Below are 27318 nucleotides of genomic sequence, written 5' to 3' on the forward strand. Positions count from 1 at the left end.
TACTACTGCTGCTTTTTTAAAAAGCACCTCTTTCTTATGAAGTTCTATTAACATAAGTGCTTGATGCATGCATATCACTTTTATTCTGAAGCTTTCTAAAAATTTTATTTGTACATTTTAAACACATGTCAAAATTGAGGAAGAATTTAGTTAAGAATCCCATGTTTTCATTTCCTCTGTTTTTCATTCTAGGTATATAGTATTGAGCAATGATAGCATTTTGCTTAAGGAAACTGACTGCATACAGTTGTTCCCAAGGTATGGTCTTATGCCCTAATACTGTTTGGATATAGCTGACTATAATTTCTTGTTTTTCTTATTTTTATCGGTAATGTCTAGCACTATTTTGAACTTTGAGTGTTCAATAATGCTCCAATAAACTAATGATTAAATTAACTCATTAATGATGATTATTATTATTATTATTTGAGATAGAGTCTTGCTCTGTCACGCAAGCTGGAGTGCAATGGCACCATCTCAGCTCACTGCAACCTCTGCCACCTGGGTTCAAGGGATTCTCCTGCCTCAGCCTCCCGAGTCGCTGGGATTACAGGCACGTGCCACCATGCCCAGCTAATTTTTGTATTTTTAGTAGAGACAGGGTTTCACTATGTTGGCCAGGGTGGTCTCGAACTCCTGACCTCAGGTGATCTACCCGCCTTGGCCTCCCAAAGTGCTGGGATTACAGGCATGAGCCACTGCATCCGGTCATGATTGATTATTAATTAATAATTCAATTATGTTTAACTGCATTGTTAATATTAATCATAGTAGCAATAGTCACAGAAGTAGTAGTTAGAATTGTTATTTTTAACATTTTTTCTGTATAATATTTTTTAAAAAGAAGATGTAATCAGTTTCCTAATCTGTAAAATAGAAACACTAATGTGAGTGATAAAATAGAAACACTAATATGACTAATAAAGACACACTAATGTCTATTTATGGGATTTTTAAAATCATCCCCAGACTTCCCACTTTAAATGCTCCATCCTTTGCCATTAAATGCAATTCTTGAGCTTCCTTTAGAAACAACAGTAGTGGTGCTCTATGGAATGTAAAAAGAATCCTCCAGCATCCCTTAGCTAATGACCAACACAATTCATATATAAGGGAAGGAACAAAACTAGAGAAATCTAATTTATCGGAACACATCTTAGGAAACAAGAAGAAGATAAACCTCTCCCTGGGAACTCACATGCTCTGTACAGGGCCTAGTGTGGGTTCACAGGGAGTTTTTGTTTTATGGGCAGATTTCTGGGGAACAAGGTTTTGTTGGAATGGGGAGCCCTACTCTGAAACTGTAGCCACATAGAGCCATTGGCCTGTTGCAGTAATATTTTGGGGTCCTGTCTATTTAACTGCCAGTAAAACACTTCCAAAGGTAGGAAATGCTAAAAATAATATAAGCAAATATAACCAACCTCACTGGGTTGGGTGGAAGCTTTGAAAGTACTAATGTGATGTGGAATTGAGCCCTTAGATGGAGAAAAGAAATTAATTTTCTCTATGAAGCCTGGTTTACTACATCCACCTCTTGGTTTCTGACACTGGTTGTGCACAAAGGGAAGAGCACTTGGTCAGTAGCATAACCATCCTCTGGCCTCAGTGACCTTCATCTGTTCCATGAAACCACAGCCTTGAGGGTCCTCTTACCATGGCCCATAGTCTGTAATTATTCTACCCTGCAAGTGCAGGGTCCAAGATTTTAGGGTTAAAAGTAAACAGATCCTTTATAAACAAGTTAGGCTGTTATGATGCATATATTTTTGTGTGGAGTCCTGGATTTTCCACCACAAAATCGTTAACCGTCTCACTCTTCCAGTTGCCTCCACCTCCTACCACATACCCATTTCCCACGCATTTTTAGGTTGCTTTAAAATGGAGACAAACCAGTGTGGAAGTATAAAATACAGATTGCTAGACCAAATCTTGCCCCTTAGGATTTTAGAGTTGGTTAGGTCCTCAGGGATTTGCTAGTCCAATTTCCCCCTCCCCTCCCTTCCCCTCCCCTCCTTTCTCCTTCCTTCCCCTCTCCTCAGAACCTTGGAAGCCTCCTGTGTCCACACATATGGCAGGCCAGAAATGCCTGGGGAATTACGTCCTTATCCTCCAGCAGCTCTTAGCCAATGATCAACGTAATTCATATGTAAGTACCCTGGTTTCCTCACCATCAGCCCCCACAATTGCTTGTTTAATAATTTGGAGGCATATGTTCCACACTGGCTCCCAGAATTCCCAACAGATGAAGTGCTCTTGCACCTTGCACATACTTCCACTGCTTTTTCCAGCACAGGGGTTCCTAAAGATTTGTTAGCTGTGTCCTCTACCAGGTGTTAGGTTTGTCAAGATCATTGTCAATGGCTTTGCAACTTTGCCTTCTCAGACCTTAGCACAATCTTAACATATAGTAAGAGGCAGTACGTGTTTGTGGCAATGAATTAAATGGACTTTGCAAGGTTTCCTAGCTGGCTGTTGTCTTTGTAGAATAGCTTCATCCACCCTTTCTGTGGTGGGGGTCTGCTGCTTATGCCCACACAGAACGCATTCTACCTTTTCCAGTCTCAGCCCCTGTGGGGAGGGTAGGCTAACCATTGACTTACCTTCGAATGAATGCATTTCTTACCTTGGACTATAGTCATTTGTTCAAGGATCCAAACTGGGCTATTGAGATGATTGATATGAGGACCTTTGATGAAAATACTGGAAAAAAGACTTATTCTTTCCCTCTCCTTCTTACTTTCTTTTTTCCTCCCTCCCTTCTTTCCTTCCTTCCACTATCATTGGAGTTATTGAATTTGTAGGAATATAAACGTAGAGCTTCTTGATGAACATCTGACTACTCAAAGAAGAAAGCCTGCTTAAAGTAAAATCATCAGAGAGAAAGGAAGAGTGAATATTCGGAGAGATACAGAGACAGAGAAGCTAAAGACACTGCCTTTGTCTGTTTTTGCTTTTATAACAAAATACCTGAGCCTGGCTAATTTCTAAACAATAGGAATTTATTTCTTACCCTTCCAAAGTCCAGGATATCCAAGACAAAGGTGCCAGAAGATTTGGTGTTTGGTGAGGGCCTGCTGTCCATCCATGGGGTCTCCTCATGGTGGCATCCTCACATGGCAAAAGGGCAAAAAGGAGACAAAATCTATGTACCTTCATGGCCAAAGAACAGAAGAGTAAAAAAGGTCTAAGCTAGTTGCCTCTGGCCCTTTGATAAGGCACTAAACCATTCATGAGAGCGGGGCCATCATGATGCCCTACCTCTTAATAGCACAATGCAGATTACATTTCAATACATGGATTTTGGGGGACACATTCAGATCATAGCAGACACTATTTTAGTTTTTGCATACAGCTATGCCTGAAGAACTTGAACTTTCCAACTATGTGAGCCAATATATTACTAATTTTTCTTATGTCATTTGAGTTTCTAAGATCCATAGTATAAACTGTTTAATTACCCACCGTGGACCAGACAGTGGCCAGGTATGGAGGATTCAGGGATACGTGGCATACTGTCACCCTCCATGGAGAATCTGCTTATTAATGGGTGATCTGAGAAGCAAGCCTACAGCACTGTGCTCCTAATACTCCCAGCTTCCTGCTCTGGAGCCACCATGCTTCTTGTTTTCTAGGCTTTCAGAAGACACAAAAAAGCTGGGTTATTTTCTTTTCAATTTCCTCAGTCATACACAACTCCTTTCTAGTCCTTTTTTAAGAGGCCAGCATATCCTGGTTGTTTGTTCCATATGACGAATGTCCCCATTGCTTATTAACCTCCAAAATAGGCAGCCCCCACCATTAGGGCTTATGGTCTGTATGAGACAACATAAAAACAAGACACATTCTCCCCCATGCACATTTCAAATGAAATGTAACAGAAGAGAAATAAATAAAAATGGAAAAAAATGCCTTAAATGGTTTGTGTTGGAAAATGTTATATGGGCAATAATGGTGCTTATATGGGCTTTGGGCAGAGACTTTGATAATGAAGGTTAAATGAGGGAATGTTACAAAAAATGTTCACTGTTCATAAAAATAAATCTCTGGTATGAACCAGAATGAAATAAACAGAGTTGCAGGCGCCAGGAGCAGCTGGGGTGACCTCAGCCTCAGGTTGGTAATAGCCAGCCTCGCTGGAACCACACACTCTCACCTCAGCAGGATCCACTTAGCTCTCCATCACAGGGACATTGAGTCCCACGGCCCTGGCCCTCGTGTGGCTCTTCTGCTTTCTTACTGGAAAACAAAACCTTGTTGTTTCCAGGCATTTTCTGTCCCTGGGTCCTGGCTGAGTTTCCAGGGACCCTGCTTTTCTAGGTTAAAGATCAGACTAGGGGCTTCAAATGCAAATGTCGATGGGGGCAGACAGGTTGTGAATGGGTGAAGTGGACACAGAGGGATGGTGGATAATTGGAGAAGATGTGCCCCAGCTGAAAGTGTCACCACTACTCAACTGTAGCTGGCTGTGGGAATACTAGCCCGGCGGGGCCAAATCTTTCTATTTGTCAAGGTTAAGCTAGAAATCTTATTTTATTGAAATTTTATGAAATTTAAGTGTTGGCAAAAAATCAATTTCTGTTAAAAATATATGTTATACATATATTATATGTCGTATACACATATATAGCATGGGGAGGGTGCAAAAGAACACGTTTATGAGACAGAATTGGCTTAGTAGCAGCCAGTTTGCCATCTCGTTAGGCGAATGCTGAGACTGTAATTACTATTGTTCACTTTCATTGATTTTTGCTATAAGCTCTCAGATAAAGTCCTCCAGGATGCACAGTTCTTAGAATATTAGAAATCGCCATTTATTAACATGTACTATGTGCTATGCATTTTATTAGGCTTTACATGAATTATTTCATTACCTCCTCCCTTCATCTCTAAAAGGGAAACACTAATGTTTTACCCTTTTACAGATGGAGAAACTGAGGTTTTGAGACATGAAGTAATTCAACCAAGGTCATTGTATAGGACATCTTTTGCACAGCACCTCACATCTTCTTGGCCTTGCCACTTTCTCTGGCTTCCTTTGGTTGCATGAGGATATTGATATACCCCGGGGCTGTGGGCAGGAGCTGGTAAAGGCCATTGTTGCTGGCCGATGAATGCAACACACATTCCAGAAGGCTCCTCGGAAGCTCCTGTATGAGGTAACCAATTGCCTGCAGCAGTTCAGGCTTCCTTGCATTGCTTTTTCCTCCTTCCCTCTTCACTTTCCCGCCCCTTATTCCAGGGATCACATTCCTTAATAAGCCTCCACACACATCTTTATCTCAGGCCCTGCTCTTGGGAAACCCAGGTTAAGACAATGAGTGGCAAAGTTGGAATTTAAATCTAAGTTTGGCTGGTCTCTAAGTGAATACTTTATCAAACCAGTCACTAAAGTATCTATGTGATCCCATTATCAGGCTCTTTCCAGTCTGATTGGTCCTGAAGTAAAGCTGTATAGACTGCAAAAAAGGCTCTAAAAGGATTCTTAAATCAGCAACAAAGGAGGATGGTACCATGGGGTAGGTGGTGCCCAGAAATCTGTTCAAATGAAGAGGGGAAAAGGGTGCAATGTAATTTTAGTTCATTATGCATTTTATTTTTCGGCACATCTCCTACATGCCTGGCAATGGGCCAAGTACTAAGGAAGCCACCTGGAACTATGGGAATGAAAACAGAGCCTAAAGACCAATTTCCAGACATCGTCAGTAACTTTAGACCAGGGTGTCAATCTCAAATGCCCACAGGGACCAGGTGAGAACCTTACTTTAAACCAAACACAAATGCATAGTCTTTATTCCCACACAGAATTAGGCTTATGGTTTCCTCTCCTTTTTCTTTAAATACATGCCTATCCTAATCTGCCATTCACTTTCCCACATTAGATAGAGATGTTGATATAAAAAAATACCTTGATCTCCTTTTAACTCTAAGGAAAACAGCCACATAAGGGTAGTGACAAATGCCAATGGATCCTGTGTTTCTGTTTGGGGAAACACCGTGGAGGCTGGGAAGTGGGAATCCCAGTTCTTTTCCCAGCTACAACTTGGCTCCAGGTGACTGTGGCTGTACAGAAATTAGACTCTGTGATGTCAGTCAGCTCTCTTCATCTTTCAAGAGAACTCAGAAACCTAGAAAAGTTTGTGAAAGCTCTACATTTTTAAATGTTAAAAATGAATTAAAATTTCTTAAAAACTGTAGGCAAACCCAGGCATAATGGCTCACGCCTGTAATCCCAGCACTTTGGGAGGCCGAGACGGGTGGATTACCTGAGGTCAGGAGTTTGAGACCAGTCTGGCCAACATGGAGAAACCCTGTCTCTACTAAAAATACAAAAAATTAGCCAGGCGTAGGGGCAGGCATCTGTAATCCCAGCTACTTGGAAGGCTGAGGCAGGAGAATCACTGGAACCTGGGAGGCAGAGGTTGCAGTGAGCCAAGATTGTGCCATTGCACTCCAGCCTGGGCAACAAGAGTCAAACCGTGTCTCAAATAAAACAACAACAACAACAAAATCAGTAGGCAAATCAAGGCTGGCAGAGCAAACAGAATCCATCCACAGGGTGCATTGACACCCAGGCCACCGATTTGCTCTCCGGATTGTAGGATCAGCCTTTTTCTCCTCCAAAGTCCTTGAATCACACCAGGTTCTCCTGTGTCAGGGGCAAGACTTGGGGAAACAGCACCTGGGGTATCACTGAATTTGTTCCTGAGGATTCTCTCCTTCCTCCAGTTTGTTTCTAGGGGAAGTAGGTTAAGGCATGTGTGTGTGTTTGAGTGTGAGTATGTGCATGTTTACTAAGAGCTCAAAGATAGAACCTAATCTAACAGAAACAAGCAAATTGTACATTGACTTTCTTCAGAAGCTGTGAAGGGGCCAAGGAAAACAAATGAATTACTCAAACAGCTGACTTTTCCTAATGGCTGGCAGTATTTGAACATGGTAGGTAGAGTTTTTTTTTTTTTTTTTTAATCTTAAACCAGCAAGAAGAGGGTATATGGCTTTCATTTTTTTTCTTTCTGTGAAACTATTGTGCCCTCGACCAGATTTCTATTGGCCTTGCTGATTAGTTGGCTATTTGAGTAGTTCATTGTCTCAGCCTTTAGTACGAGCCCCTCCTAAATGGGACTCACTATGTCGTAACTGTATAAAATATTCATTAAGATGGTGCTTTTAATGGATTTGTTTGGAATGAACTCAAGCAGAAGGAGCCATGTGCTGATCCATAGAGCCTTCAGGATGTTTCAGGGCTATGTCTGCTCCAAACCTCTCTACTTGCTTTCTTTCCCTGTAGGCTCTCATCTGAGACGTGGGATTGAAAATGTACTGATTGGGGAAAATAGGAGGTTGTTTAGGGCCAGAAATTGTTCTCTTTTTGCAAGTGTATGCTCCCATTTGATGTTTTTCACCTAGTGTTCAATGGAGGCGAGTGATGACTTTTTCTGAATTACACTACAGTGCTTTTGCCGTGTGGAATGGCCCAGAGTGTGAGTGCTCAAGCTCCAGAATTAGACAAATTTTGTTTTCAATCTCAGCTCAGCCACCTACTTGTTGTGCAACTCTCAGGCAAGTATCTTGACATCTCTGAGCCTCAGTTTCCTCATCTTGCAACCTAGAGCAATGCTAGTACTTACTTCACAGGATATTTGTGAAGATTGAATGGACTAGTTTGCCAAATATCTAGCCTAGTGCCTGGGACATATTAAAAGCTCATTAGCCCTAGCCATTATTCTCTAAGTGGTAGATAACCAACTTCCACCCCATGTATAGGTCTTTTTAAATGAATGGAGTTTTCTGCTCAACAAATGCCATTTGATTCTTATCCCATCTCAACCCCAATAACAGAGCAGGTTTAACCAAGTATCCTCAAACAAATGGGAGATTGTGGATCAGAGAGATTAAGCGAGGTGATCAAGATTGTTCTGCAAGTTAGTGATGGGGCCTGGGAATAGAAAGAAATATTTTGACTCCTTTCTCAGCATTAGGTCCAATCCTTTGTGTCAGATTGGCCTTTTCTTTTCTCTTCATTATTTTTTTATAACCAGAGGATATCTGAATCCAAAATCATTACATCCTAACCTCTACCATTTAATTTCTATCTGTGCAGCTCCAACTTTTTAGTCTAGGCCAGTCACCTTCTCTCCAACCTTTTGAAACATGGTGACAGAAATAAATCATAATAAAGAGTCCTCCCTATCTTAACTCCATCAGCCTCTGCACCTGGAGCCTCCAGGCCCAGCTGGAGCATGCAGTAAGCATGTTCTTGTTTCAGCCCACCCCCTTCCGTTGCTCCCTTGTTCTGAACACTCAGTATCTATTAGGGACCTGTAACCCATATGGAGAGTGACTTTGGGCAAACTGCTTCACTTTTTGGGTCTTTGTCTCTCCATCCTTAAAGTGGAAAAGATCATTAAATTATTAATAAGGGAATAATACTTCCCTATAAAGGTATGGAAGAAATGTAACAATGATCAACTTTGCCTATTGTCCTCTGAGGCTGGGTGGGGCTAGGGTTTTATTTTTATAATCTCTAAATTGAAGTCACAAACAATTATCATAAAATTTCTGGAATAGGGGCTGGGGTTTTATTTTTATAATCTCTAAATTGAAGTCACAAACAATTATCATAAAATTTCTGGAATAATGAAACAACTGCTTCCAGGGGCAGAGCTTATGAAGGGGTAGGGATGGAGCCACCATGTGGGAATGGGCCGGAGACGGCCTCAAATAGATTCTTCCTTGGTGCCTTCATCCTGGGAGGGAAAATATGCTCATCAAGATGCTAATTTACCAGGGATTACCAACAGCACTCTTTGTAACCAGGTAAACAAGGCCAGTTTTTTTTTTTTTTCTTTTCACTCTTAAAACAAAAATCTATCAAGATTTAATCACATTGCTTTATCTCCATGACCAAACCCTTCATGTGTGCATGAGAACATTTCACTTTGTCTCCAGGCCCTAAAGCATGTGCCTGATGGGAGCTGTGGTCCCTTTAGGGTTTTTTCTTGAGTGGAAGAAGCAAAGATTGCTTTTTGTTCCCCTTTGACTCTCTTCGGAATTAACATGAAATTGGAGATGACTGTAGCTCCTCGTATGGGGTGGTTTTTGCATTAAATCCTGGGGTCCATTTTACAATCCATTATTTTTGACCACTGCTGTGTGTTCAAGTAGTATGAGAATGTGATTGTTTTTATCTGGTTACATATACATTTCTTTGTCTAATTTAATATGTCAAATAAATGAGTTCATCTAATAAAAAAAAAAAAAAAAAGAAAGAGAGAAAGAAAGAACAATGGGAGGGGAGCCAGTTTGAAGAATATGTCTTAGAACCCGAGGGAAGCTTTGTTTTCATCAAGCTGATAGTTCCCTTCCAGGCCATCAGCAAAATGAAAATGCCTCACCCAACCAAATTTAAATCCTTTCATCTAGGTCTCTTAAACCCTTCTCTGGGGAGTGGGCTTTGGAGTGTGAATTCTTCCAAGCTGATTATCTCTGCATAAGAACAGATGCCACCCCCCTACCCCTCCCTCCCCTTGGTCCTCTTTCCATTTTAACAGCCCTTACTGGGCTTCACGACCAAATTGATGCCAGCATAAGCGTGGCTGCCTCTGAATGTGTAATTGAGAAGCAGCGTGGACACTGATGTCTCAGTATTAATTAATGGAATTTGATGTTTATTGCTGTCATGTCAACCAATCATTTTTTGCAGAAAATTAATTAAACCTTGAGTAGGCATTTGGAAGCTCCCTACACAAGGCCTAGGGCTGACTGGGAGCCTTTGGGACTAGAGAAGGGAACTGCATCTACAGTTTAAGCCGTCCCTGAGCCTTGTCTAAAACTTCAGACTTAGATTCCAATACTGAGAGAGTGGAGAGGAATATGCGGAAGGGGACGTTGGTACCTTTCACTCTTCATCACCCCTCACTTTTGCTATTGGATTATCCTTCTCACTTCTTTCCACAGACTGTCCCCTGCTACGTGCCAAGTAAATCCATCCATTCTCCTGCAAAGATGAAGTGTGAAATACACAGTGGAAAAATAACTCCATGAAAATATTCTTGGTAGGGCTCTTTTGAATGCAGTCACCAGATGGGTTATATCAGACAGGAAGGCTGAAATGCAACGTTCTGCTCTTCTAAAATGTCCCACATTTGCATTTTGGATCCTTGCTTCTTTTCCTCTTCCTTCCTCCATCACTTTTTCTTACTCTTCTCTATTTTCCCTCCTGGAGAAACACAAATCATATTTCAAATTTTTTGAATAACATTGTTTTCTGATTATGAACTGAAATGTTATGCATTGATTGTAAGAAAATCAATTAAAAAACAGAAATATATGGTGAGAGCGCCAATTTGGGAATAATAGCTCATGTTTGAGTGTTTACCCTGTGACAAGCTCTGTGCTAAGTGCTCACCTTTTTGCACTGACTGTTCCTGCTACGTACAGGGTAAATCCACCCATTTTCTCACATGATCTTACTTAATCCTTTTAACAGCCATATGAGGTAGGTACTGTTAGTAACTGTGTTTCATAGGTGAGAAAGTTGAAGCTGAGAGAGATTCAGTAGCTTGCCCAATGTTGCACACCTTGGTAAGCAGTAGCACAGACTTTGATTCCAGGCGCTCTGATTCCAGAGTTTACATTCTTATCCAGAATGCTCTACTGACCTGTGCTGGGCTATGCTAACCACAGTCTAGGAACACACATCAGGAAAGAAGGTACCAACTGGAGAGGTCTCTGATCATTCGGAGCTGTTCTCTGGGGACATCTACTATGGGGAACATACCACTCTCCACACTCCAGCTCAGCTCTCTTCCCCATAAGCTCAGAAGCCTGGTTTTTACAGGGATAGGTTAACATTAACAGGGTCCACAGAAACTGCTGTGGTACCAAGAATGTTAAGCTTGTTAATTTACTAAGAACAAGGCCACAGTCTGGAAGGACTTGCACTGGCCTGTCAGTGCATCATCACCCTGCAGCAAAGCTACATGGGAGCTAACAAACAACTGCTTTCCAGAACTTGGTGCCTGGACTCAGTGCATGGGGAGTCATGCAGCTAACTCTCAGCTATCTTTTTAGCATCCCTCTTCCTCTCCACCACTGCCCTCATTCCAGGAGTAATGGAAACCCTAATATCCCCACATAAACCAAGGCCATTTCTCCCCTTTATCTACAGTCCCAAGAGTGACCACCCGCCTGCCCCCATTCCAATGGCATACTATTTGTATAGATTTCTTACTACATTTAATCTGACTATAGTCAAGTCTTGTTGGTCTGGGAGCCATTCTGCCTTCTGAGGATGGCTTTGTATATCTCGGCCCAGGTCTGTTAACTTGAATTAAAGTTTACTTCTGTAAGGGCAATTTTTAAAAACATCATTGAAGTATACTTTATATATAAAAATAAATCATTTGAAATGTGCAATTAAGTGATTTCTAAGACTTTTGGTGGGTTGTGCAATCATGGTCATAATACTTGCAGTGCTCCAGTGAGATCCATCATGCCCATTCACACTCTGTTCCCAACCCCGTTTCATATAAATAAAATCCTACAATATACCTGGCTTCTTTCACTTAGCATAATGTTTTGGAAATTTATCCATGTTGTAGCATGTATCATTATGCATTACTTTTTATTGCTGAATAGTATTCCATTGTATGGGTATGTCATATTTCATTTATCTATTCATCTGTTGATGGACATTCAAATCGTTTCTGTTTTTGGCTGTTATGAATAATGCTGCTGTGAACATTCACGTGAAGGCCTTGTGTTATCATAGGTTTCCATTTCTCTTGGGCAGATACCTAGAAGTGGAATTGCTGGATCATGTGGTGTATTTCTGTTTCATTCTTTAAGAACTGTCCAAAATGTTTTTCAGTGTGGATACAAGTCCCTTAACAAATGTATGATTTGCAAAATTTTCTCACTTTCTGTGGGTTATCTTTTCCTTTCCTTGGGAATGTACCTTGAAGCATAAAATCTTATAATGTTGATGAAGTCCTTCTCATCTAATGTTTTTCTCGTTTTGCTTGTGTTTTTAGTGCGATATCTAAGGAAATATTGCCGAGCTCAAGGTCATGGAGATTGTATACCTGTGTTTTCTTCTAAGAGTTTTATAGTTCCATATTCAGGCCTTATAGTTCATTTTGAATTAATTTTTATATGTTGTTTGCAGCAGAAGTCCAACTCAATTTTTTTGCGTGTTTTATTTGTTCAGATTCTTTGTGGCCTCTTTGTGTAACTTTCCTTCCCTCTGGGTAGAGAGTAGGACACCTGCTTTAGAAAGGTCTTATCAGCTACTTTCAGGGGTGACCCAGACAGTAATTTTTGTAGGTTTTATCACTTGATTTGGGGGAGAAAGAGGAATGGGAGGCAGGAAAGTGGAAGAAGGTGAGATCTTCTTGCTTTTGAGGCTCTCCTATCTCCTTCAGTTAAAAAGTACTCGCAAGCCAAGGCACCATACTTTGGGGTATTGCGTTCTGAGCCCTAACAAATCTGCAGATCAATTTTGGAAATACTGCCATTTTAACAATATCAGACCTTCCAAACCATAAACATGGATATCTTTCCATTTAGTTTGTTCTCAAATTTATTTCAATAATAGTTTATAGTTCACAGTGTACAAATCTTGCACTTCTTTGGTTCAATTTATCTATAAGCATTTTATTCTTTTTGATACTATGTAAGCAGAGTTATTTTATTAATTTTATTTTTGGATTGCTCATTGCTAGTGTATGGAAATTTAACTGACTTTTGTGTATTGATCTTGTGTCATGCAACCTTACTGAACTCATTTATTAACTCTAATAGCTTTTTAGTCGACTTTTTAGGATTTTTCTATGCTCAAGACCATGTCACATGCAAATAGAGGTAGTTTTACATCTTTCTTTCCATTATGCATGACTTTTATTTCTTTTTTTTTTGTCTAATTTCTACGGTTCACACCCCCAGTGTAATGGTGAATAAAAACTGTGAGAGCAGACATTCTTGTCTTGCTTCCAATTTTAAGAGAGAAGCAATCAGCTTACACCACTAAGTATAATTTTAGCTGTAGGTCCTTCACCTTTTCTTAGGTTGTATCTTTACCTGAAATATTTTTTCTACCTTTATATTTCTGTTTTTCAAAATAGTACCCATTAATCAAGGCCAAATACTCAAGTAGATATCATCCCTCCCACCCTAGAATCTCTCTTAACAATTTGCTTATATAATCGCACAGAGCACTAAGTATATTCCGCCTTTTGCTATAGTCATGTGTGGTTATTCTGGTAAGCCATCTCCTATGTATCTAGCAAAGTCTCTTTGAAAGTGGACTGTGTTTGCTTATTTTTACATTCCTAGTACCAAGACAAAGAGTTACAAATAGGAGCTTATGTCTTTTGAGTGAATGGATAAAACTAATTTATAATGAGATGTTGGTGCTTCACAGAAGCCTAATGTGTTGTTTTTCTGGGATATTTAAATTTGAAAGGAAGATCAACTTAAAATGAATTGGTCTTTAAATTATAAAAGTATCATTAGAAAACACAACCCAATTTTTAAAATAAGCAAAAGATTTGAAAGACACTTCACCAGAAAAGATATATGAATGGAAAATAAACACATAAAAAGATACTCAACGTTAGTCATTTAGGGAATTGCATTAAAACTATGATGAGATTCACACCTATTAGGATAGCTAAACAAAACAAAAACAAAAAAGAAACCTGCCAGTATCAAGTGCTGACAAGTATGTAAAACAACTGGAACTCTCATTTATTGCTACTGAAAATGCAAAATGTTACAGTCACTTTGGAAAGTAGATTGGCAGGGTCTCAAAAAATTAAACACAAATTTACCATATGATCCAGAAATCCTATTCCCGGGTATTTACATAAATAAAATAAAAACTTATATACAAAAACCCTGTGCAAAAAGGTTTATAGCAGCTTTAATCGTCATCATCAAAAACTGGAAACAACTCAAATGTCCCTCAATGGTACATAAATTAACAATCGGTGAAACATCCATACAGTGGAATATTACTCATCGGTAAAAAGGAGTAGACTACTGATACACACAAAAGTATGGACAAATTTCAAATGCAATCTCAAATAGCAGGCAGCAAGCTTATAATTAGCTTAAACTAATGGAATATGTTCTCCAAGAATTCTATGCTAGACTGTTTGAACCAACATGAAAGTTTCCTTAATGGCTCTCCTGCTCTCAACTCCTTCAACACATATCATTTGAGCTGTACAATTCAGCATACTCAAATGCATATGCTGAATGAAAGAAGCTATACCCAATGCATGATTACATTTTACATGGCATTATGGAAAAGAGTACATTTATAGGGAACACAGAAGTATCCGTGGCTGCAGGAGTTAGGAGCTGGAGGCTGGTGACATCAAAGGGATAAAATTAGGAACTAGTTTGGGGAGGAAGGAAGTATTCTGTATCTTGATTGCGGTAGTTTTCTTGCCAAATTCTTACACAATGGCATGCATTTGTTAAAATTCATAGAACTATATGCCACAGAGTGAATTTTACTGTAAGCAAACTAAAAAAATTATTAAAACAATAATATAACTAAATGCTTTTTTGGACAGAAGTAGATGTAGAGCCTGAATTTCAGCTTCATAGATTACAGGACAGGTGACCTGAGGTACATGTGGCTCTCTGACCTCTTGCCAAGGAGTTGCAGTGAATGGTGTGCTGTCAGCAGCGAGTGCTAGTGAGTAGTGACTTAACTTTTTAGGACATCAAGGAGAGCTTAGAAGTGCCAGGAAGAAAAGTGGCCAATAAAACAAAAAAACCTTTCAAACTAGAAGTGAGGTCATGGGGTAGCTACTTCAATTGTGTGTTGTTTGAGGAGAAGGCGGCCAACAATAGCTTGCTTCTTGTGAAGAATATGTGGAAGGAAAAAAAATTACATAAAGGATAGGATCAAACGGTTCCTTCCTGAATGATTATCGTCAGCAGCATTATAGATTCCAAAGAGAAGACACCCAGTGGTCCTCATTGAGAATCCAGTGCAAACCTCTTTGTAGAATGCTTGCTCTACAAAAGAAGCTTTCCAGTGATTTAGATGAGGGTGTAAGGGAGGCAGAAAGACATAGATGAATCCCAGCTCTGTCATTTACAAACTCAGAGCCCTTGCAGAAATCACTGTGCCTTTCTGATCTTCAGTTTCTACATCTATAAAGCAGGGTTAACAAGCACCTATCTTTCAGTGTTGAGAGAATTAAATGAGATACTGCACACATAGCACTAGGCTCAATACCTGGAAGATAGAAAACCCTTACTAACTTGTAGTGAACATTACATTGCTGCCAGTTTTCACGAGCATGCATATGTTTATTTTTCTCAAGTTCATTCTTGAATTTAATTTTTTTTTCTTGTCAGTACCTCGTCAGTAGGAGACCATCATGTCTAAGAAGCATCATCTTGCTGCCTAGAGTATATAGAGTGAAATTGAAGAGAAATTTCTTATTCTCAGAAGCACAGAATCTTTTATACTCAATACAGAGAACCTTCAAAAGCAAGAGCTGTGACTTCCTCACTCCAGAACTGGTTAACCTGTTGGGATATTTGGTAGATGAATTCTGCACCACGCGCTCTTCTTTACTATGCACTAGACCAGGAGACAGCAGATGCTCTCCATGCTCTCCTTCCAACACAGAAAACCAATCTCCCAGCACCAGGGGAGACCATAAAAAAGGAAAAAAAAATGCAAATGCCCAACATTGATTAGTTTTGCCAGCTGCTCTTCCTCCAGAATCAACGGACTGGCTACTTTAGCTGTAAAGTCTGTTGGACAGACTCAGGATTTTTTTTTTAAAGAAATGGTATTAAAAAACAAATAATGCTTTCCAGTCCAAACATCAAAAAAGTTGACAAATGGAGGGGGTATTTAATAAAGAAAGAAGGAAAATAACATGCAGCTTTTGGACTGTTTGACTTTGGGGAAGGCCTGTTTCTTTTAAATATGCAGTTGGAAACTCAAATGCACTCAGAGGCCAGACTAGTCCTGTAAATGAAAGAAGCATCATCTGAGTATAAGGCAATAGGGAGTGGTGGTGAGTGTGGACCTAGTTTTCTTCCTCCCACTATTTCGAGTTTATTTGAATACAAAAAATATTTCACTTTTTTTCTAGACTCTGCTGTGGAGGAGAAAATACAGAATGTGTTATGAAAACTGATAACTGTTACAACTTCAAAGACATGGAGCAACCTTGGTCGCCATTTTGGTTGTGTGGTGGACTCAGGAAGCCCATTCACATCTGAGTTGAGCAGCTCTTATGCACCTCCAGCAACTACTATTGTGCAAGAATGTGAGCCCACACTCACCACTACTCCCCATTGTCTTATCCTCAAATACTTCCTCTCTCATTATTTACATGACTAGTCTGACCTCTAAACGCTAAGTATTTAGTTATTCAAGAGACACCCTACATATTGATTTTGATGTGATTTCTAAACTACATCAACACGTGGATGATTTTAATGCTGATGATTCATTCCACTTTGAAAAACAATGGTGTGGGCCAAATACAACATGTTTATATGTTAGTTTCTGCCAGTGACTATCAGTGTGGACCTCTTCTTTGTACCTCAGTTCGATAATTGTTGTATAGTAATGCTTTTTGACAGATGGCAATCCATGATAGAAACAACATAAATTTTGTTAGAAATAATTTCTTATTAATTTCTAAAAGGATTATGAATTAACACTGTGTTGTGAAGTATGGAGTCATTTATTAAAGAATTATTCTAAAAGCAAAGGATGGGAAATAGACCAAATGGCCTTTAATAGCAGATGGTTACATAAAGTATATTACCTCTGATCAATATTATGTAACTATTAAAATATGAAGCAAAAATATGAGGCAGTTGTACAGTGCTAACATGAAACCATGCTATGATACATATGTGTGTGTGTATGTGTGTGTGTTTTACATATACATATTTTTCCATACTGTGAAAAAATCAAAGTGCAGAAAATTGTGCATAGCATGCTACTATTGCATTATATATGTTTGTGTGTGTGTATATATATATGTATATATATATATGTAATTTAACAACAAGTAATATTACAAAAATTCCACTAATTCACAGGACACAAGCAGCCTCTTTCATAAAGGTTGTAGCATAGTGGGAATAGGTTGTCATAACAATAGAGATGATGGACATTTTTTCAGGGAATCTCATGGCTAGAACATGCTTCATCCTCTTTCCATCACCTGCTTCTGAGAGACAATGACATTGGTTTTAATGGGTGGTCACAGACTCCAGTATGAAATGTAAAGTGGTCACAGAAAGTATTAATTTTAACAAACATAACAGGATCCTAATCACAAAGGCACAAGTGAATATTGTGGTAGTTCACATACATAGGATTTACTAGCAGTGGCTTTCCTACCAGACTCTCCATCCCTTTTTATCTATGCCCTCTTCTTTAAAATGTGCTCATCTCCCCAGAGGTGTTTCTGGCCTACCTGTTGTTTAGCCACTTCCCCATTTTGGTCCTGAGTTTGGCTCATTTTTGAGCATGACTTGTGTAAGCTCTTGACTAAGCTGACTGATTTAGTGTTTTCTAACAGATGCTTGAATTTGCCAGAGGTTGTCTGGGCCCTGCTGGGAATATGCACCTCTTGCAAGGAAGAGAATGAGATAATGAATGACCTCTCTTCATTTTCTTTCCCTCAACCTTAATTTATAGCTAGATATGTATGTAGATATAAATATGACTAAAGACTATATATTATATCTATATGAATGTGACAGAAACTATAACAATGATTGTCTCTGGGAATATATGTTCTTTTTATGCCCAATAAGCTGAATATCAGATTGACAAACTGCATTTCTGGTATCACAGATGTGTACATGAAATGAGAGAAGAAGGAGAAATTACCTAGTTTGTGACATTTAAGTCTCTGTCTTAAACAGAAGTAAAATTTCTAATCAGTATGGGAAAGTTAGATAATCTAATAAGTGATACTGAGACATCTGGCTAACCATCTAAAAATTTATATCCCTACCTTACTCCTTCTACCAAAATAAATTTGTGAGTGACAGTCTATAAAACAGTCCCTATGAGTGACAGTCTATAAAGCAGTCTCTATGATTCCCACCTCCTGGTATTCATACCTTTGTGTAATCCTTTTGAGTGTGGGCAGGACCAGATACTTATTTCTAACCACTAGAATGTGGCAAAGATTATAGGTTGTAAGTGATCACATGTATGTGATTACATAAAAGTGTAATGCCTATTTTTCTAGAGTCTCACCTTTCTCTCTCTTTTTTCCTTCCTCCTTTCTTCCTTCTCTCCTTTATTGGTTTTGATAAGGCAAGATGCCATAAATCTTACAGCATCAGAAAATGAATTCAGACAACAAAGTGAGGGAGCTTGGAAGTGGATCCTTCCCCAGTTGAGCCTCTGATGAGAACACAGTCCTGGCCATCACCTTGGTCACAGCCTATGAAACCCTAAGAAGAGGCCCTAGTTAAGCTATGGCCAGAGTCTTGATCAACAGAAACTGTGAGATAATATATGTATGTCAGTTTAAGCTGCTAAGTTTTTGATAACTTGTTATGCAGTAATAGAAAAGTAATGCAAAGCTCCACATGGATTAATGAATTAAATGTAAAAAAAATTAGCAGAAACCATACAAATCACTAAAAGGAAAAGTGATGAAATGCTTTTGTGATCTTGACATACAAAAGAGCTTTCTAAAGAAGAAACAAAACCCAAATGCCATAAAAAAGACTGACAGATTTGACTATCTAAAATTTTTGAAGTTCTGCATGGAAAAAAATACTATAATCAATACTAAATTAGAAAAACATTCGTACCAGATATGGCAGATAAAGGACTAATTGTCTTAATTTTTCAGAGTGCTGGCAAATCAGAAAACAAAATTAGCAACCCAAAAGAAAAACGAGCCAATAATATGAACTAGTCCAAATAAAAGAAGTATTAACAGTATTAACATACAAAAGGATGCTCAGCTTTCCTCACAAAAAAGGTAGAAATTCTCAAAAATGAGATTTTGTTTTTCACTTAGCAGATTTGCAAAGTTATAAAAAACTTGATAATACTGGAAAGACAGCCACTCATATACTATTGTTTGGAATTTAAATTGGTGCAATTTTTTTGGCAATAGAAACCCAAATTTCCAGCATACCTACAATTGCCAGTCTTCTTGTGGGAATCCATCCTACAGTTATGCCCATCTATGTATACAGTGAATTTTGAATAACAAAAACTAAGAAATAATCAAAATGCTAATTGGTAGAAAATCTGTTTAGTAAACTCAGGGATGGCTTACCATGAAAGATATGCAACTGTGAAAAAGAATGCCTTCTGCCCATTTGACTTCTGCCCAAGTCACAAAAAGGAATGATTTACCAGCTCTATTACATCTTAAAAAAATCAACATTCACATAGCATATACAGCTTTGCTTTAATTTTTTCAAAAGGATATATTGGAATAAGAAAAGTGTGTGTGTGTGTGTGTGTGTGTATAACATTGGAAGAGAGAAGTGTGTCTGATTTTGACCTCAGCCTAGGACCATGTCAGTATGGAGAGACAGAGAGAGACATGCATATCCTTATAAGCACATGTTCTAAGAAGTAATGACTGAGATGAAGGATTCAGTAGCTTTTGTGGTCAGGAGCAGAGAGGTCTGGGAACAGGAGATTAGGGAGTTGAGGAGGATTAATCGGATCCTGGAGATGGGGCAGTCAGAGAATCAGTGTGTCCTGCTGGGTCTTGGCTCTAACAAAGCCAAAAATTCCCGAGCGCTCCTGATTCTGGAGCAGAAGCTCTTTGTTTTCTGTGAAATAAACAGTAAACACTGTGCTCGGCACTGGGGTAGGGAAATGAAGAAGCATAAAAAGAGTAAGAATTAGTCTTTATAGTCTAGTGGAAAAAAGCATTAAATTCAAATAAATATTAAATATCAGAATATAGTATAATAATATTTATGTATCCATCAAATTAAAATATCCTGTGATGATCTCCTGGAGTCTAAATCTGTCATCAGGCCTGTGGAGTAAATCTCACTGATATTCTTTCATTGGCTCCTCATAGCTACCTTTTAAGGAAGTCTCATTACTCCTGTTTTACAGATGGGATTCAGAGAGGTGAAATACTATTTTTTAAAGACCTTAGAAAGTGGTCTCAGGATCTGGGTTTGTGTGAGGGAGAGGCGTGGGTGCAGAAGAGTAGAGAAAAATTTGAATTTAGCTATGGAGCCTGGATCTTAGATACCACAACCATTCCAAAAGGGGATTCATCATCTTACCTTAAACATGCTCATTTCCTCATTTCCTGTATGCTCCACCTCAACAAACTTTTTTTTTGTTTTTTTTTTTGGTACCTTCTATGAGCCGAGACCATGGTTCTAAAGGATGAGGATGTGGCGGTGAACGAGATAGACATATTTGTCTTCGCTCATGGAACATTTTAGAAGGGAAGACAGAGAATAAGAGAGTAACAAATACACAAGCAATGCAATTTAAGGTTGGATAAGTGTTTTTTTGTTAGTTTGTTTTTTGTTTTTTGAGATGGAGTCTCACTCTGTCACCCAGGCTGGAGTGCAGTGTCGCAATCTCGGCTTACTGCAACTTCCGCCTCCTGGGTTTAAGCGATTCTCCTGCCTCAGACTCCTGAGTAGCTTGGATTCAGGCGCCCACCACCACGTCGGCTAATTTTTGCATTTTTGGTAGAGAGGGGGTTTCACCATGTTGGCCAGGCTGGTCTTGAACTTCTGACCTCAAGTGATCCACTCACCTCAGCCTCCCAAAGTAAAGCTGAATAAGAGACAGAAATGGATGGTGGGGCTTGGGGTAGTGGTTGGGTATTTTAGTAAGCCTGGACAAAGCCACTCTGAAAGGGAGACGTTTGAACACAGATCTGAATAAACTGAGAGTGAATCATGGGATGATGTGAGACAGAGGAGTACTAAGCAGAGGATGATCAGGGCAAAGGCAGTGAGATGTGAGTTGGGCCTGAGTGCCCGTTATTGAAGGAGCGGCAGGTGCTTCCACATGGCCAGGGCGGGGTGGGTGAGCCCGGGTTCAGGGAATGGAGGCCAAAGGGGTGGGCAGAGGCCTGATTACATAAAGCACTGTGGAGCACAAGGAGATAGATGCTGAGATTTTAGCCCTCAGGAAGCCCTTGGGAAGTTTTCAGCAGAAAAGAGATGCTTTCTGATTTATGTTTAGAAAAGAAGACTTTGTCTGCAGGGGAGAACAGGGATACGCCAGAGTGGCAGTAGGGAGCTCTTAGGAGATGGCTTTGGGAGGTATGGGGGCAGTGAGGTGAAGACCAGTGGCTGTGTACTAGGGGAAGAATGTATAGGATTTTCTAATGGATTGGCTATGCAGAGAAAGGAGGGAGGTGGATGAGTACGAGGTTGACTCAGGTTTTTGGCACAAGCAGGTGGGTGGTGCCAGTCGTAGAGGTGGAGAAAACTAAACCATAATACCTCTCTGCTTAAGCCCTTGCTGGTCTCACACCACCTGCAGACTCCTCTAATTGGCTTACAAGCTCCCACCTGTCCACCGTGACTGAGTCCTGCCTTCCTTTCAGACTCTTCTCCAGCCCCTCGGTTCTCTTCCCTGTGTCTCCAGCTACACCCGTTTCCCCACACACCATGCTGCTTCTTACCTCTGTGCCTGTGCATGCTTCTCAGCCCCCTCATCCTGCATGCCTCAGCTCAGATGCTACTTCCTCCAGGAAACAGTTTCTGATTTTCCAAGTTCAAATAAGCCTTCTCCTCCAATTATGCTTCTCTGATGGGCTGGGTTCTCCTTGAGGGCAGGTACCGTATGTCACTCAATTTTGCATCCCCTGGGCCTAGCACAGTGCCTGGCACATAATAGGCAGTGCAAATAGTGTTTGATAAGTGAATGAACAAATGCATGCTGGTATGTGCACAGTACTGGGTAGTTTCTGGGGTTAAATATTAAATCTGAGTATGTTTTTCAAAAGTATTTAGATGTGCAAAAGGTGAAAGGAAGAGTTAACTAGACACTGTAAGGTGTGCATGTGGTGCTTCTGAATCCTGATCTTTTGCATGCTGAGACCACATCTGGAACCACCAGGGACACTAAATTGCCTCTGTAAAGGCTTTGCTGGAACTAGTGTGAGGGATGCAGGGACGAGGATCTTAGGTATACAAATGAGAGGAGTAAGTGCAGGCAAAGGGTGGATCTGCCCTCCTTTTTGTGTTTCCTTGATAATGTTCAGCCCCAAGGGTCATTCCTCAGTCATCTCCTGGTCTCCCTGTCCCTTTAATTCCGCTTATAGTCCAGACCATGCTCCAAGGTACGTGATTAATGCCCCTTCCACCAACCCCTCTCTGTCGCCTTTAAATGCGGCCACACTACCACTCACCTAACCCTGACAGAAAAAAATACAGTCCTGTCACAGTCTTGTGGCAAGCTAGATCTTCCAGCATTAAATCACCATTAAGGGCCTCTGTGAGTTTGATAGCAGCTTTAGCTGTTGGTTGTTTTTTTTCTCTCCCTTTTTATCCCATTTCAAACTCAGCTAAAGCTTTTCTGCTATCAGCAGTGGGGCTGCTGCAAAGACAAACCATCCACACCCTCTCCTCCACAGGCACACCCACACTCCATAATTAATCTGAGTGGAGAAGTGTGGAGGACTTCCAGGCAAAGCCTTTTCCAGGCAGAGATGCCCTGGGTAGTTGAATATTGGCAGGGGTAGAGAGGGTGATGTGCCTGATCATTAACCCAGTCAGCATCTGCATAGCCATTTGTGAAATGCTTTCACATCAGGTAACTCATTGGATGCTAACAGGAATCTTGTTAAAATAAATATTTATTATGCCCATTTTAAAGATAAAGAAACCAAGGTCCAGAGGCCTGGACTACTTAAGAGAGACCCCAGGTTGGAACACAGGGCCTCTGACTAGGAGACTGGAGATCCTGAGGAACTTTTCATATTGAGAGGGGTTTTTTTCTTTCTCGAGTCTTCTGCACATGTGGCAGGTTCTGAAGTTAGACACACTTGGTTCAAACCTTAGCTCTGCCATTTACTAGGTAGGTGACCCTGAGGAAGTTACTTATTTATCCCTTTACCGGTTTTCTAGTGCCACAATAATATTGCTTAACAAACAACTTCAGCACCTCAGTGGCATACAGCAATAAACATTTATTTTTGCTCAAGAGTCTAGGGGTTGGCTGGGTGGTTCTGCTGAACCTGGCTGGGCTCCCTTATACTTCTGTGGTCAGCTGGTGAGTCAGCTGGGGGCTGGCTGGTTGAAGATGATCCCAGCTAGTATGACTCATCTCTGCTCCGTGAGCCTCCACAATATAGCAGGCTTGCCCAGGCTTTTTACATGCAGCAGCAAAGTTTTAAGAGAGGCAAGAGAAGCATGCAAGCCCTCTCAAGATATAGACTCAGAACTAGCACTGTTCTCAGAGCTCAGAACTGTTGCTTCTATGAAACTGTTTTGTCCAAAGCAATTATGAAACCAGCCTTGATCCAAGAAATGGGAAAATAGGCTCAATCCCTTGATAAGAGGAGCCACAAAGTCACCAAAGAATGTGCCTATGGGGGCTTTTAAATGGGACCATCACTATAACTGATCTCCTAAAAGCCCTGAGCTCTTTTGTTAGCTTGATTTTTAGAAATAGGCGTTAAAATACTACCAGTCATATGGGGACATTGTAGGAATAAAATGAGCAATATATATAAAGTGCTTAGCTTAGTGCCTGGTGCATAGCACATATAACAGTACTCAGGGTGGTAGCTCTTCGATTTGTTATTTTGGACTGCCATTCTAGAATAAGGATCCTCTTTCCTGCCCCAATTATGTGGGACTTTTTTCAGTCTCCTCTTACTTATTTGAAACACTTTTGCCTAGAGGGTAATGCCAGTACATCAAGTTCTTCCCACAATACTCTGCTGTAGATTGAAATTTTCTATGAAATTTACTTGGATGCAATTTCAGGGACTTTAGTTACTAAATGCTATCATGCACTTTATTCTAAAAAGGTGTCACATGTAAGGTGGCCAGCAGGCATGGGCAGTGTGGAGGGAAGCTCTGGCATCTTCTGGATGACATTCCTGTGCTAGTCTTCATGACAGTCAGCTGCCAGAACAATCTGTCCATATGTCTCTTAAGTTCAAACATACCTAGATTTGACCTGTCCATGTTTCCATGGAAGTCACATTGTTGCCCCTCTTAAATGTCTGTGAAGCTGGTTTACTGTCTGAACTCTGACCAGGATAGGAACGTGGTGCTTTGCACTTAGGCACTTCCTTAATATACTTACTCTGGTGAAAGTATTAGCTAATTCTGCTTCCAATTTGGGATTTGAAAATAAAAATAAATAGCAGTTGAGAAATAGCCTTTTGTCCTTCCTCCTTCCAATATAGAACATCTACCATACATGAAATGAATCTTAGAAGACTGAAGGAAATAAGAGCTGAGCCCTGCCCTCAGGGGATCTGTTGTAGGGTAGGTATGAAACTATGACATGATGGCAAATGTGATCAGAAAATGAAGGGTGGGGCATATGAGATTTAGGGAGAACTTAGAGGGGAAAGACTGGGCTTCTATGGGGGTGATTAAGAGAGACTTTGAGCTGTCCCGATGAATAAATAAGAAGGTCCCAATAACTTTTTTCTTATATGAAATTATAAAAGTTTTTATTTAAGAAATTAAGAAAATATAAATAAAAGAAGAAAGTGAGGGTCATATTTTACGGCAGATGGTGTTGGTTGATTATCTAATATCTTTTTTCTCCTTCTTAGAAACTCAGCCTTAATTACATTCAGTGCAACAATGTGCTGCTAAAAGACTACATTACCCAGAACCCTTTGCAGCCAGTTATCAATACATTGGCTGTGTAACTAAATTCTGAGCAATTTAAGTTAAAACATTGTGTGGGACTTCCAGGAAGACTCCGTAAGGGAGATGACTTCACTAGGAAGTTTGGCCCTTTTGCCCTTCTCTAGTTTTCCTTCTTGATGGGACATGAAGGTGATGGCTAAATCTCTAGCAGCCATAGTGGACCAGGAAGTGATTTTGATGATGCCTATATGTATTTAGTCAGAATGGACCAGGTTATGCTATAATAACAAACAGTCCCCTAACCTCAATGATATTCTATTTCTACCTCACCTAAATATCCAATAGACTTCAACAAAGAACCTGTGCTAACTAGAGTCACTCCATCACCCAGGCTGATGGCAGCTTTCTCTCAACATGTGCTTTCAAAATCACAATAGTAGGTGGAAGGATGTATAATGGATTGTGCACTGACTCTTAAAGCTTCTGCTTAGAAGTGATTCATGTTACTTCCCTTTATAGTTCACTTTTCCAAAGCAAGTCACATGACACACCAACATTCAAAGGGGAAGGAAGTGAAGTCCTATCATGTTCCCAAAACGAGGGAAGAAAAAGAGTATTAGTGAACATAAATAATGACTTCCATACTATGTGCTATGATGAAGAGCAGGAAGTTAGAATGCACTTGAATTTCTAATGACTTTGTGACTTGCCATCCCAGACTTCTTCTACTTGAGAGAATAAACCCTCCTGTGTTGAAACCATTGTAATTTGGGGTTTTCCATCTCATGGAGCCAAATCCAACTGTAATGAATTTATTTTTCCCCCATCCTTCTGTCATAACCACAAATATTATTTTGATGAATGTACTGGAAAAGAATGTGTATGAGTCTTGGAGTGCCTGCCCTGCTTTCAGCCCCATTTCAGAGAAGCAGCCTCAGCACTTCCTGACCTCTACAATTCCATGTTCTGTCATGCAATCATGCCACCCTGCACACAACTGATTGGATCAAGGCCAAAAGCACCAGTGTATGGGCTGAGTAGCCCACTGGCCATGAAGTAGCCTGGCCTGAGAGGTTTGTCCAGTGCAGGGGCTCTGTATGAGGTGATGACTAAGTGAGTGAATCAGACCCTCTTACTCATATGTGGAATTTGAGACACATACTGGGAAATTAAAAAAAAAAGCTGAGAGGAAAGCAGAAGCTGAGAGAAGTTGCATTATGTGACTGTAACAATATTGCAATTTTGAATTGTGTGTAGGATGTTGTGTTCTCTGTGAGATCTCCATGTTGGTTCCAAGAACTTCCCTGTTTTTCCTTTCTTCTGCGTGGCCTTATAATAAACTCCTTATATATTAGTCTGTTCTCACACGGCTATAAAGAACTGCCTGAGACTGGGTAATTTATAAAGGAAAGTGATTTAATTGACTCACAGTTACCCATGGCTGGGGAAGCCTCAGGAAACTTACAATCATGGGAGAAGGGGAAGCAAACATGTCCTTCTTCACATGGCAGCAGGAGAGAGAAGTGCAGAGTGAAGTGAGGGAAGTCCCTTATAAAACTATCAGATCTCGTGAGAACTCACTTACTATCATGTGAACAGCATAGGGGAAACTGCCCCCATGATTCAGTTATCTCTACCTGGTCCTGTGCTTGACAACGTTGGGATTACTACAATTCAAGGTGAGATTTGGGTGGGGACACAGAACCAAACCATATCACCCTATGACATGATAAAAAATTAGATCCTAACCAACAGTGTGTATCCTTCTCTCATCTGTTTTTATTTATGTTTTATCGATAGATGATTTTTTATAATGGTACTTACTTTTCTCTTTTACTTAGTAGTATATCATGACAATCATTCCATGCCTTTAAACATTCTTTAAAACAACACAAGAACGGGCATGTAGTATTCTATTGTACAACTGCACCTATGTAATCAATCCCCTAATGTTGGACATTTATGTCGTGTCCCATTTTTGTTTGCATATTTGCTTTTGCTTTTATATACAGCAGCAAAGTCAACATTCTTGAAGCTAAATATTTGCATGTATCCATGATTGTTTTTTTCTTAAAGAGAGAAGGTCTTTTTATGTTCTTTGGGCAGGACTTGAACTTATGGCCTCCAGTGATCCTCCTGCCTCAGCCTCTTGAATAGTTGAAATATTTTTATAGGTAGGAATCTGTTAGGCAGATATTGGTGATAAAGGGGACATTTCAGAGCAAGGATATGGCACAAAAAAGCACAAAGTAGTGAAGTTAGGAGAATATAAAGTTTGTCATCAAATAATCAAATTTTGCTAGTGTTGGGTAGGTATAAGAAGACAGTGGCCAAATTATTGATAGACTTGAAAGCCAAGTTAAGGTATAGCCATTAATAAGGGCTGTTTCTGAATATTTGGAAAGAAAACCTGGAGTATTACAAAGTGAGTCTCTTATCCTCTCCAAGGCTGGTGGTAGTGTTAAACAGAGGATCAGTAGAGGTTAACGTGGCCCATTT

General features: G+C 40.0%; 1 long non-coding RNA gene across 1 annotated transcript in view; it reads right to left on the minus strand.

The window, feature by feature from the left end:
* Positions 1-27318, minus strand: part of LINC02227 (long intergenic non-protein coding RNA 2227) — an 89091-nt gene that overhangs the window by 38706 nt on the left and 23067 nt on the right. The window contains exons 2-4 of the long non-coding RNA NR_109888.1: positions 10147-10222; positions 9899-10000; positions 3014-3153 (exon numbers count right to left, since the gene is read on the minus strand). This is a non-coding gene — a long non-coding RNA (long intergenic non-protein coding RNA 2227). The remainder of the gene's footprint in view (positions 1-3013; positions 3154-9898; positions 10001-10146; positions 10223-27318) is intronic.

The sequence above is a fragment of the Homo sapiens genome, chromosome 5, assembly GCF_000001405.40.
Source record: "Homo sapiens chromosome 5, GRCh38.p14 Primary Assembly".
NCBI classification, from domain to species: domain Eukaryota; kingdom Metazoa; phylum Chordata; class Mammalia; order Primates; family Hominidae; genus Homo; species Homo sapiens.